This window comes from Homo sapiens, chromosome 12 (assembly GCF_000001405.40).
Source record: "Homo sapiens chromosome 12, GRCh38.p14 Primary Assembly".
NCBI classification, from domain to species: Eukaryota; Metazoa; Chordata; class Mammalia; order Primates; family Hominidae; genus Homo; species Homo sapiens.
The window spans coordinates 24,059,270-24,073,695 of record NC_000012.12 but is presented as its reverse complement, the minus strand read 5'-3'; the positions used below and the strand labels follow the sequence as shown (position 1 = coordinate 24,073,695).

Here is a 14,426-nt window from a genome sequence, read left to right as displayed (position 1 = left end):
TGATGTTTATTTGAAAAATGATAAATGGTCCTTCAGGGTCCCTGAAGTGTTTTCACAGATTCTCATGCATGGTTGGCAGTTTTATTGAAAATGGCTGTAAATCAGTAAAGAAAGCTACAAATACGTTTTATGTCATCTTTAGAGCAACAGTAAGTTACCATCCCAGAAAATGAAGAGACCATTTTTACAGAAGGTAGCATGATAAGGTGTTGAAATGAAAAGACATGTTCACAGAGGTGTCCCCAGCACTTAGTCATTAATAACAGTAAATGGAGGAGTATAGAGATAAAGATTAGAGTCAAGATTGTCCATGGGGTCGTAAACTTAAATTTTTAGAAGCATGTGTCGGTTTTTATGTTTGTTTGTTTTTTGTGTTTTGGTGGTTATTCTTTTACAAGATGTTTATTGACTAGCAGATTGGATTTGAGCTCATATGCTATAGGATCCAGGTGAACTCATGTTCTCCAAATGCATCTGTTGTTTGCTTCTTCCAGAATAAATATTACAATCCTTGATGAAAAACAGCTGGAAGGCTTGCCTGTGGTTGCCTTCCTTTTGGGTGCACAGGATGAAATCACTTGTGCACCATTGACAATTTTAAATGGAGAAGAAAAGTATATTCCATCATAAGATGTCAGAAAAAAAATCTTTGTTTTGCAAATATATTTTACATTTTTACTTTTCTTTGAGGTATCCATTTTAGGATAGTAAATGATTTGGAGCACATATGTGTCCAAAACTCCAATGTAGATACATTCAGCATTCTCTGTGACTTATCTATGTTTTCTTTAAAAAAAAATTTTATGTGTTATTCATGTAAAGTAGGGTATAATTTAAATTATAGTAAATGTCCAAGTACAGTTTGTCAAAGCATTCAAAACAGAAACAATGCAATCATTATACCATGAAGTGATATTTTTATAGCTAATTTTTAAGGCATGTGAGACACTTTATTAATGTTTTAATTTATTTTACTCTTTGAGGTGAGGAGTAGGTTTTTTTCCATTAATGTCTACTGGAGAAGTTGACAAAATGGTGCTAATGGACAGAACCATGGACTGGAAGTAAGTAGTTATGGCCACATTGCTGCTATCAAAGAGCTTTAGGGCCTTGGGCAAGAGCCGTCATCCCCCAGGACACACTTCCTCCTGTCTAAAACTAGCAATTGCAGTGGATGATTTCTCAAATCTGTGAGCTTATTATGACTTCTAAACAGGTCTCAAGTTTCTTCATATTTCCTGCCAACACTGATCTCATCCCTTTCTGACTTTCATTGCAGGTGTTATCTGTTCCATAAATTGTGGTAGTTGATTATATTTAATGATATAAATTATCATACAATCTTTTATATGACAATCTGTTTTTATTTCTTTTAGGAGCACACATTTTAATAATATTCACTGTCTCATAAGGTTAATTCTTATCTTGCCAATGAAATATCCACGCATCTCAAGGAAAGAAACTTTGCTCTATATTTCTTCTTTTTTCCCCTTCTCCTTTTAACACATTACAGAATAGTTGTCACAGCTATTTGAAGTGTTGATAAACTTATCAAATTCAATTGCAAACTTATTTAGAACCCATGCAGTATGTTTGATTCAGAACCATAGAAATAGAACATAGCTAACACTTGAATGAGAATTGGGAAACCTGAATTCCAGTCCAAGTTTCAACATTATCTGGCTATGTTCCCTTGAACAGGTTACTTTGTGCTTCGGTTTACTCATCTTTAAAATGAGGAAAAGGGATCAACTAATGTCTAAGATTCCATCTAACTTTCAATTTTTATAATTTTGTTTCTGCAGATGCTATCATGGAAGTGATAAACAACTTTGCCTAGCATTTTCAAAACATAATCTACCCCTCCTCAAGCATTTTTCGTCATTCTTTAATTCTGTGATTTGCCACGTATTTATTGACCACCTGTTATGAATTAAGTACTATGGATTAAAAAACAAGGCTTGAGCCGGGCAGTGGCTCATGCCTGTAATCCCAGCACTTTGGGAGGCAGAGGCAGGTGGATCACGAGGTCAGGAGATCGAGACCATCCTGGCTAACATGGTAAAACCCCGTCTCTACTAAAAACTATGAAAAATTAGCCGGGCGTGGTGGCGGGTGCCTGTATCCCAGCTACTCAGGAGGCTGAGGCAGAAGAATGGCGTGAACCTGGGAGGCAGAGCTTGCAGTGAGCCGAGATCGCGCCACTGCACTCCAGCTTGGGCAACAGAGTGAGACTCCGTCTCAAAAATAAAATAATAAAAATAAAAATAAAAAACAAGGCTTGATTCCACTTGTTTAAATGTGGGCACATCTTTTCACCTTCTTGAGCCATCTGCCTAATTGATATAGCAATAGCTGCCTTACATGGTTCATGTGGGAATTAAATTAGGCAATGCAGTTAAGCATTTTGCCCAGTACCTGCCAGATAGAATGGGGTTAATATTGTTATTAACACTGTTATTTTGTGAGCATTTAATTTTTAAGCCATTAATTGGGGTCATATTTAATGGTCTACATGGTATAAATATAGCATAACTAATTATTTAAGTATAATAAATGCAGAATTTTACATGCAGCTTTATGTTGAGCAAGTTACTTATCCTTTGTCTGGCAAACTTGGGACAGAAACGCCAGTCTTCTATTGTATTCAGGACTAAGTGAGTTTAAAATAAGATAATGTACAGAAAATTTCCAGCATAATGTTTGGCATATAAGGTTCAAACGTATTTGTTCCAGACAAAACTAACCTTTGGTGATTAGGCAAAACTAGCCTAGTTTTGTTCTAGGCAAAATTAATCTATGGAGGTTACCCCTGGTGGATAATTGACTGGAAGGGCATGCATAAACCATCTGGCATGACAGAAATAGGCTGTATCTCAATCCGAGGATGATTACATAAACGGATATGCAGGTAAAAATTGTTTGAGCTGTACACTTAAGATTCTTTTATTTTACTGAATACAAATTATGTCTAAAAATGTTTGTTCTCTTCCCTAAACATAAATACCATATTACATTTTTATAACTGAAAAAAGTCTCAACTAATGATAATACTATTTTTCTAATGGCATGGTTAAAATATCAGTCCTTTACAGTAGTTTTTTTTTTTAAAAAACAATAAATAAAGATGAAAAAGGGCACCATGATTCCTTGAATTTCCTGAGGTCTGAAAGTAGTTGGAGGAACATTCAGTGGTTATATGTATTTCACCACCCCCATTGTTTCAGTTTGGCACACCATATTTTAGGATATGTATTGCCCACCTAGTTCTGGGACCTGCTCTTTTCCCTGGCACAAACAAAACTGTCCATTATGGAGCATTATTTTTACTAGGGTGTGATCAAAGGGCCTGATCAGTCCTGTTGCCTCTTTCTTTCTGTATTTTTCTGAGATGAAACATCACTTATGATTTATTCCAATCAAGCTTTATTTAGAATTGGGTCTGTAGGAAGGGGTGGAAATGGAGGGGGAGGGAGCGGAAGGGACAGCATAAATATATACATGTAGTGTGTGAAAATAAAGAAAGGCATCTTTTGTTACAGCTGGTCGCAGGAGAAGTTTCTGCTTGCACTGCTGAAGATAGTATGAGAAGATTAGTGTTGTTGCGGCAAACTCAGGACAAAGACGGGCTGTGTGAGAGGGATCAGTATGTTTGCTCAGCAGAGCGCTCTCCCCGGTTGTTGACAGATTTAACTGGTGTAATGTTAGGCCTGGCTAGCTCCTCCCCATGATTGTCAAGAAGCAATAGGTGCAGTAGTAAATGGCTATGTGGAGTATACCATGAATTCCCCATTTGTGTAGTAGCTGTAGATTGGGGTGGGGATTTAATATTGAATGGACTCCAGATTGTCTAAATTGCAATCACAGTGTTTATTTAAATAGCCTATGGGGACCATTAAAGCATTTTAACTTTTGCTCCTATGTCTCTCGTGTTATGAAATCTTGAAGCACATTGGGGAGAAAAGAAAAATCCAGCCTTGTAAAAGCATTAGGATGCTAGAAGTTCTCCCTGCTGCCAAAAATGCTTCAAGAGTTTTAGTTCTCTGAACTAATGTGTAATATGATGGATGGGATCCTGCTGTGATCTCTAACTAGGGGATTTTCCCTGTGCAGATACACTGATCTGTCACTGTGTAATCACTGCTATGTCATTTTGGGAGACTCTTTCCGATATTGGTTCTCCACTTGTAATGCTGAAGTCTGTTCTTCTCATAATAATTTTTATAATGATATATCTTTAAAATTATATGACTATTTTAATTACACAGTTGCTTTGCTATGCAGTTATTACACTCTAATTTTAGATTAAGAAAAGCTATTTCTTTTACAATACTGGGCCAGCATGATGGTGAAACTTTAGTTTGATGTACATGGTGTAAAACCATGAACTTGAGGTGTGGAGAAAAAGATGCATACCTATTTCTGAGGTAGAGCTTCTAAATAGAAAGCGTGCTCTATTAAGTTTCCATGCTGATTTAAAACCATAAAATTCAAAACACCTCACAAATCATTGTCACTTAAAGTGCTAAAAAACATTTCTACAGTTAGTTTACTTCTCCAGGAAAACTTTGTCTATTTTTTTTTAAGGCCCTAAGTCTGGAGTTTCATTTGACAATGCAAAATATTATTTTCTGATTATGCAAGCAACCTAGTCCCTGAGATATTTCTGAATTGCTGAGCTTAATTTTCAACTTTTTTTTTTTTTCCCAAATTCCTGCTAAGTTTCTGGGGGCTATGCTAACTCCTTGGACTATATAAAAATAAGTTCCTGTATTTGAGGCTCCAACTCTGGGTGACAGGACAAGGTATTCCACATTAGACTATTTCAGGGCACTTTTAGGGTCCTTGAAGTCCAGCCCTTCTGCATCTTTTTTGCCTTATGTATATAGTGGTGATAGTAATACCTATTTATCTTGGATATAAACTAGGAACTAATGTGTGTGTGTGTATATATATATATATATATATATATATATATATATATATATATACACACACACACACACACACACACATACGACTTTGACCTTTCTAAAAATAAAGATACCTTAAGAGTTGTTTTGCTGAGGAGATGAGTACATCAGCTATAGGAGATCTTAAAAATGAATAACTTCCATTCTGCAGCTGGGCAGTGGCATTTAACTTGAGTCAGACCATATGCAAATGAAGGCTTCTATAACATCACAAGTTTTCTAAGATAATCTCTTTTATTTATCATCACAGTATATACTATAGAGCTAATTACTTCCAAATATAACATGATATAGGTGTTTCTTTCCTAAAATTCTTTTTTTCCCAAAAATGCTTTACATTGCTCTTTATTCCATATTAAAACCAAAGGTTTCAGATTTCTTTTGGCTCAGGGTTCCAAATTTTTGTGAACAATGTTATCAGTATTTCCAACTATGCTGTGTATACTGGCCTCGAATCTCTAATTCTTTTTCTAGGACACATTGACGACTAAAATCCATAAATTTTACAGAAGCCTCATTTAATCTGCTAATTTCCCTTTACTTATTACCCTTTAAGTTTTTTTTGTTTTGTTTTGTTTGAGACGGAGTCTCCCTCTGTCGCCCAGGCTGGAGTGCAGTGGCGCAATCTTGGCTCACTGCAACCTCCACCTCCTGGGTTCAAGCGATTCTCCTGCCTCAGCCTCCCGAGTAGCTGGGACTACAGGCGCACACCACCACGCCTGGCTAATTTTTTGTATTTTAGTAGAGACGGGGTTTCACCGTGTTGTCCAGGCTGCTCTCAAACTCCTGAGCTCAGGCAATCCGCCCGCCTCGGCCTCCCATAGTGCTGGGATTACAGGCGTGAGCCGCCGCACCTGGCCTCCCTTGAAGTTTTTTAAAGAATTGATCCATGTTGCTTATTTATTTTTACTCTTAGTTTCACCTTCTTGTTTTTCTACTGCCTACTCCCCTTTCTCGCTCTCTTCCTTTTTTCTTTGTTTACTGATTGCGTTAAGTATTGAGAGCTATCAAAGAAAAGGCAAGCTGTAGAGAAGGAAGTGAAGAGTATGTATAATCCATAAAATCGTTGATCAATCTCAGAATAATAAGGAGGACCATGTATCGCCTACCATTTTCTAGGGAGTGATAAAGCATATATAGCTAATTAGAATAATCTCGTTTTGCTTTAAGAGTTTTACTATAATAATGATATCATCTTCCTATTATCTGCAATCATTCTAACTTCTAGGAATACTCTTTCTAGGACTGCTACCCACCGACAAAGGATATTTTAACTTAATATAAAGTTGAAAGGCACTGGAGTTTGGGGCTGCAAGGGAATCTGTATGGCAATTATGTTATTTTTCTGGGGCAAACCCTTGGTACTAATGCTGTTCATGGTTGTTTTGACTATATTACGTTTTGCTGAGCCTTGGGACTGCTTTTGGAAGGTTTAGAAGTATCCAGGGAGGCGCCTGCCCCTTTGATTATTCATACCCAGCTCTTTATTTTTATTTGAGACATAAAATAAAAACACACCCTGGCTTCTGCTTAGCCTCCACTGGCATTCATTTTAAAAACAAACCCCAAACTGACCAAATGGCAGCAATACAAGTTTCTCTGCGAGTGAGTCATCTTTCATGTCAATCAGAGTTCATTTATGGAAGCATTAAATTCTGGTGCTGGCCAGGCCACCTTTAGACAAATTAAAATGGGTTGGGATTTGGTAGGGCTTGGAACAGAGGATTGAAAGGAAAACCAGAGTGATGTTATGACTCAGAAAGTGACTCTTTTCCTTTTGAATCAGAATTGAGCCACTGGTAGAGTTAGTTCTCTCGAAAAGATGGCAACTTTTAGGTGAAAGGTGAAATAAAATCTCTGACCACCTGTGTTCATCTTGTTGGTTCAACTTTGTGCCAGTTTGGACTTTTACTTACTCTTCACCTTTTCCCCCATTGCTTAGTTATAAATAGGTGTAATATTTTCCTGCTTATGTTCCTTAAAACATTTTTAAGAATGATTGTGAACTTTTAACCACTGCTACATTTTATACCAGATATGGTTTTATTTCAGCAAGTTGTTAATTAATTTCTGCAGAAATGTAGAACTTTTTTTCTACTCTGCTCTTCAGATAAACTTTGAAATAACTCTTTAGTTATTTACCTTCTGAAATTTGCTGTTTATCCTATTTATATTCAAACAATATCAATTTTTCACATTTTAAAAATTCATTCTTTTATTGTTATTTCTGTCTGCTTCTAAAGATGATTTTTTCAAGGACTCATTATTTCAACACTTATTGAGCACCTATCATGTACAGCTATTTTAAGTTTTTCACTACATCTTCATTGGAAGCTATCATAGAATATTTTCATTTTCATGGTTGATTGATTTTCATTTCATACTATCTTAAAGTCTAGTATTTTATTACATCTTACAAGTACTTACATGAGTCACATTGTGATTTTTGGTGTTGATACTCATTAGTTCAACATCATAAACCAATTTTAAGACCTGTATGCATGTATCAGCCTTCTATATCAACTGATAATTAAGAGAAGAGATTGTATCTTTTTGTCAAATTTATATATAGTTGGTTCATTCCAGAATTATAGCCATTTTAATCCCAAGTGCATTTGTTAGTTCTGTATTTATTCATTTAATGCACAATTATTGAAATCCTACTTTTTTTTTTAGACTGTAAGTTCCTTAAGGCATTAAAATATTTCCCAAATGAAAGAATAAAAGAGTACAATAGATGAACAAGCATGGACCCTTCTGAAGAAATAAAGCTCCTTAGTGGTAAATTTGCTGAAGTTAACTGTGTCCTCACCCTACTCAGAATTAATTCAGGATTTTGGTGGTTTTGTAATTGTGAGTGTTGAGCTTTTTGTCATTTGCAAAGTGAAGTGAGATAAGACAGGGATATGCATTTCATGGAGATTAAGGGCCTGGGCACAAAGTGAAGAAGTTCCTGGTTGACATTGGTCATTGTAAGAAATGAGCAACTAAAAGTATAGACTTTAGCGTTGAACTCATTTAGTGATTATTTCTTTTTCTTTTTCTTTTTTCTTTTCTTTTTTTTTTTTTTTTTTTTTGAGATGGAGTCTCGCTCTGTCGCCAGGCTGGAGTGTAGTGATGTGATCTCAGCTCACTGCAACCTCTGCCTCCCGGGTTCAAGCGATTCTCTTGCCTCAGACTCCTGAGTAGCTGGGACTACAGGTGTGCACCACCACGCCTGGCTAATTTTCGTATTTTTAGTAGAGACAGGGTTTCACCATGTTAGTCAGGATGTTCTCGATGTCTTGACCTCGTGATCCACCCACCTTGGCCTCCCAAAGTGCTGGGATTAATGGCATGAGCCACCACACCCGGCCCTAGTGATTATTTCATTTGGAGGTATTTGTATCCACAACCTTTACTCTGTTCCATATTCTGGAATCCAGCTCCATGTGCCTCTCTCCTGCAATTTTCCCTCATCTTTGAGGAGTAGGAGGGCACAGAGTGATTAGGTAAGAACTGGAGGACAAGGGATGGGAGATAGCCAAGATCACACTCAGGAACTTAATGTCTCTACCAGCCCATTGTCATTCTTCTGATATCTACTGAACCTTACACATCCGCACATCCCTAAACTGCCCTTTCACCCCCTTAATGTGGAGCACAGTGCCATTCTTCAGTAGGAAGCCTTTTTATGCAACTGAATTTTATTTTGGAATAAAAGCATCTGGTGATTAAGGATATTGCCTTCCAGTTTCCATTTTCAACCTCGGTTTAAAAATTAGTATCTAAGGGGAATATATGTATATAAACTTTCTTTGGCTGATAGCCTGTGTTTGTACCCTGTGTCCCTGCTTCTGATAAAGATAATCCGAACTATAACCTCTGTCACATGAACCCATCCTTATGTATTAGCAGGAAGATTTTGAACTGACACCTCTTCTGAGACATGTATATTCACTTATAGATGATCATTATTCTGTTCAAGAAATATTTTTTGAGCTTCTGCTGCATGACAGGACCTTTCTATGATCAGGATACAGCTGGGAACAAAACCAAGTTCCAGCACCATATTGAACACAGTCTCATAAGGAGAACAGATAATAACCAAAATAACATTTTGAAAAAACAAACATAAATTGATTATGGATTCAATTTTATTTAAAAATTATATTGTATTTTATTTCTGTACTACTTTAAAGCTTTTAAATCATTTCTGATTGTTCTGCATATTATATTTCATATATTTGAAAACAGTTTGTTAACTGTAAAAACCTTGATATATGAGTTACATATATGTAACTTAATAGATGAGCACATACCTTTTCTGATGGAACTGATCGGGTGCCGTGGTTACCAGATGTTCAAAAGTCAATTTAGAACCTACTGTACCAGTGTACATAAGAGTCATCTTGGATATTTGCCGTATTGCATTACAGTGTCCTTGGATGAGTTTTGAGAGCCTGCATTTTAAATGAATCTAGCCAAATATGGTGCTAGCTAGGGAAGGGCCACTCTTTGAAGAGCACCAGTGTTGGAGAGTTTCTCACAAGGGAGCTTAGAAGAGCCGCTAAGAGAATTGAATGCATATGTCTTGTTGGTGTCTCCAATTCAAAGGCTAGCATTGGTGGTTCATTTGGTATTCTTTTAGGTCCCGTGTTAAGCATAAGAACTACAAGATGGTAGTTCTGGATGCTGAGCTTAAGGATCTTACAGTTTACTTACAACATAGACCTCTCCCTACCATTTTATTCCCTGCTGTCATTCTAAACTGTGTGGCATTTTCTATTTATAAAGTACTTTTGTATACATTATTTGACTTATTACCTCATTGACCTAGGTTATATGAATTTTTTATTAGACATATATGTCATTACAGATGAAAACAGAGGCCCAGAGATATTAATGATTAAGTAGGCTAAACGTACAGAGCAAGTATGTGGCAGAGCTAGGTCTTCTGATTCCAAGTCCAGAGTTTTTTCCCATTTCATTATATTCGTGTGCCTTATGTGTATTAGTTGAAAATTTAGAGTATTTCTTCACCTGTGACAGGTATATTATAATATTCAGAGATTCCTCAATCTGTGTAAAGGTTGTAATATGCCATGTTCCTAACCATTGAAATATGAAATCATTCGCCATCCTTAAGTAAAGCCAGATGCCTTCATTGAAAGTGGCAAGCATCTCTTGTAATAGGATTACTTGCACATTCCAGAAACTTATGACAAGTGGCAAATGAATTAATACTAGGAAATAACATATAGACTTACTGGGAAGGAGCCAGTCTTTGGACACCTCCACTCTAAATATTATTTGCATTAGAGACTCTGCTGAATCTATGTAGTGCCATTACTGAAGTGTATTTATTCTTTGATCACTATGTCTGATTGTTGTCTATCTGTTCATTCATTCAATAAACATTTGTTGAGCACTCATTATGTACCAGAACAGGGAAAGCCACTAGTTATAAAATTATGATTAAGACATATTCCCAACCCAAATATGAAGCAAACTATATGTAATTACCACAGAGATGTGAATAAGGGTCTATTCTATGATTTCTCAACTCTGACAGTTACCAGTGGAAATATTGGTGGGAGAAGTGAGTGTGTGGGTGAATTCTTCAGAAAGGGCTGAAATTTGTTATAGCTGCACATCTGGCAGTACTTAAGAATTATGAATGATTTCATGTTTCCATGGGCACATGGTACATTATAACACATTATGCAATATACTGGTTGATAAAGCACTTGGTAATAGTATAACATTGTGCCTTTCTTCCCTCATTCTTAAATCACTGTACAAACACAAATCCTCACAATATTGTTCCCAGGAGTTGTTGTTAGGATGTTTTTGTTATCAATAGTAGCAGTGTTAACCACAGTCTGTAGCCGAAGAATATGAGACACAAAATAACTTGCCCAGGGCCACTCCATAAAAGATTGGCAGCATCCCATCTCATAATTCCCTGTTCAGTTTCTAAGCCTGAGAACTTCTCTGAAGGAGTTGCTAGCCTGGATACTTCCTTCACTTATTTTCTTATAACTTAGTATGATGCTACATATAAGCAGAATTTTCTGTGGGTGGCCCACTGGCAAGCTCTAACACTTCAGGACCACGTCTTTACAAAGCTGTCAGGAGGCCCCACCCTTCTGCCTAGCTCTTTTTCCTACAGAGGAAGCATAGTTGAAGAACTCCGGTCTATAGTAATGGTCTGAGTCTCAGTTGGCTTGAGCTTAAGACACTGTAATATATTCCTTCATCAGTCCCTGTCACACAGAAACATTTAGAGCTACTGATATTTGACCAGTAGTCCAGTGAATTTCTTTTCGGCAAACAACTACATTGTCCTTATATCACATAGCATTCTCTAACACAAACCATAAACTATCAATGGTAAAGATCAACTTTGCTGAAACCAGAAAGAGAAGTTAGAAATAAAGGTAGAAATCATTTTAAGCTTTATTCTAGTCATGCTTATTAGCTCTGCAATGGAGCAGCCTGGCAAAAATAATAGATTTTTGAAGTGAGAGGAGACTTTTCTTTGCTTAGGTGGGCCAGATTCTTGTGCCTTTCTTGTTACTATTGTACATCATTTTGGCAACTATCTTATTGGGATGTCAGTCTGCCTCTTAAGCCTATGAGCCTACAATATGTACACCCTGTACAAAGATGATGATACCATTTGATGGCAATTAGTTGATGCAACTTTGTTAATATTGTTTTTTTAATCTATCTTCTTTTCTACATTTTTTCCTCTCTCAAATGGCTATATGAAACAAGAACAAAACTCTCATTCAGACACAATTATTTGAAACCATTTTCCACAGAGCAAGAGAATACTTCATATAGTAATGACTAGCAAGCAGTGTTTTAATGTTCCTATGATTGATGCAGTGGCTCACAACAGTTCCTCTGGAACCATTCTTGCTTCTTACATTATAGGGCCTGTTGAAAGGAGGAAACAGAAAAGAGAAAGGTTTTTTTTTTTTTTTTTTTCTGTCATATTGAAGCAATAGGTATATGGTGATCATGTAAACCTTAAGTGATTCAGTTATGACTAGGGACTTAATTACTGACTTTAGACTTTTGGGTAACATGGAAGAAAGTTCTCAGAACCAAATTGCTTAGCTTTTGTGTGATGCCCTATGTTTTGTGCAAACGTTATCATTGGTACTTTGTGCAAACGTTGTCATTGGTATTTTAGCAGTAGGTAAGTAAAGTAGGGCCTTGGTTTTCATTAAATGTTATTTCTGCCTGGATAATCATTTGGATTATGGATATGACCTCCATATCCATAATCATTGGATATGACCAAACATTGTGACTACAAAGTGGATACATGGCAATAATGGATGGTTTGGTGTGCTGGCTCCTCTGAAGGCCCAGAGAAGCTAATTGGGACTGCTAAGATTAGCTTGGAAGAAAGGGAGGCTGACTTTTGGTGTCCCTTAATACTTAATACTTACGGGATACTTATGGATCCTTAAAATTTGTCCCCTTGTTCTCTGCTTGTGCCTTGTATGGGGAAACTGTCACATGGTAATTTCTTCTCTTCGTCCTTTTTTATCCAAAGATCCCCAATTTTTGTGTGGAAACTTGACAATAGCAATTACAAAAAAAAAAGGAGGAGGAAAGCAGCCAACATTCACTGGGTCCTTACTAATTGCAGGTATTACCTTGAGCTCTTCCCACACATTGTTTCTGTGAGGTGATACTGGGCTCTTTTGGTTATAAGTGACAGAAACACAATCTGAATATGTTTGATCATAAAAAGGAAGGGGGTGTTTTTGTTTCAAATAAATGGCAATTTCAGGAACTTCCTAGCTTTAAGCATGACCAGATCACAGGGCTCAGTTGCTGTCATCGTCTCTCGTCTTTCTTTGCCTTTCTCTGTGTTAGCTTCATTTTTAAGCAACCTTTGTCCATGTGGTTTCTGCCCAAGCAGCTCCAATCCATATCCTAAAATTAAAAAGCTAGAGTTTCTTTCTTTATAGCTTTATCGAAGTCCCGCATAGAGAACCCATTAGTTTGGCTTGAGTGGGTCCATACCTGAACCCATCCTCGAGGCTGAGAAGATGACGTGCTCTTTGGCTAGGGTATGGTCCTATGCCTAACTCTTGTTTGAGAATGGAGGTCTAGTTGTTTCCCGTAGGAAAAGATGGGTCTTTTACCAGGAGACATGCCAGTCAGGACAAAACAACTGATCTCCCTGATAACAGAATAGTATTATTTTTCTACTTAAAAAATGTAAGAACTTTGCCTAAGCTCACATAGCAAATATATGGAGTGTATATAAGAATATGGACTGTTATCCCATTCTGTCTGATTCCAAAGCCCATGCACCTGCAGGAGAGTTGTCATGGTTGAGAGTATAAGAGTGCAGTACAAGCGCATAGGTGCAATTCCTGGCTCCACCACTTCCTAGCTCTGTGGCCTTGGGGAAGTATGTAATCTTTTCAAGCCTCAGTTTTGTTATCCATAAAATGGGATAATAATTGTATCTACTTCATAGTGCTATTGTGAAGGTTACATGACACAAATATATAGACTGCTGTGTATAGTTTCTGGCACACAATAGATGCTCAATAAATGCTGTCATTTATTATAACTATTTCAACTTACTATAAAAGTATGATACAAATCACCCACTGTTGAGATTTCACTTTAGTTGCTGATTTACTCTAGGCACAAAACTGGACTTATGTATCTATGCATCACCTGATTAAAATCCCTAATGTCTTTCACTGCTCAGCATAGACAATTCCATTCATGTAATTTATTATTGTTTACATTTTTATATCATTTTTATTGTCTGATACTACTGTTTAACTCCTTATAATAAGGAAGCTATAAATTTGTGAAGAAAGGGAACCATGTCTTTCTCCCACAGTATCCTTCACAGTACCTGGAATCTTCCATTAACGATGTATTCAGTAAATATGTTTGGGTTTCATTTGTTTTTTATACTCTTGATTGTGGGTTGCACTTTAAATGACTATCCACCAGGAACTGGCAGAGGAGATGTGATTCCCTTCCCTGGAGACTTGTAGACTCTCAAACTTGGAGTGAATCCAGGTTTGAGGTTGGGGCAGGGGGTCAGATATGGGCTTCCTATGGGAGGGGGCAACATGCCATTCCCCATCACACACACACACCTGCTGAGAAGAGTCCTTCCTGGGCTTGTTGCAGGGAGTCACTTACTGTTCCTTCCTCATCTACCTCATTTTCAGACAAAGTTGAGGCAGCATGGTGAGAATAGAATTTTCTTTGCAAATTCATTAAAAAAACCAAACCTTGGACTAGGCAAGTAGAGTTTTCCAAATTGTTTCAATGGCTTGAAATACTCAAGCGCCAAGTGTGGGGTTTATTTATCTCAAATGAAGAAATTGGCTATTTAGCAGGTACCACTCTTCTAAGCATGAATCTAGCCTATTTCCTTTTCAGATAAAGATTTTGGTGCGATGAGAGTGC

General features: G+C 37.0%; 1 protein-coding gene across 20 annotated transcripts in view, besides 1 other annotated feature; it reads left to right on the top strand.

The window, feature by feature from the left end:
• Positions 1–14,426, top strand: part of SOX5 (SRY-box transcription factor 5) — a 1,033,147-nt gene that overhangs the window by 488,955 nt on the left and 529,766 nt on the right. The gene's annotated exons all lie outside the window — the stretch shown is intronic.
• Positions 3,507–3,801: an enhancer, noted in NCBI's record as "tiled region #12792; HepG2 Activating DNase unmatched - State 5:Enh, and K562 Activating DNase matched - State 8:EnhW". NCBI's record gives its function as "activates a minimal TATA promoter and a strong SV40 promoter by Sharpr-MPRA in HepG2 and K562 cells {active_cell/tissue: HepG2 | K562}" and the evidence as "EXISTENCE:reporter gene assay evidence [ECO:0000049][PMID:27701403]".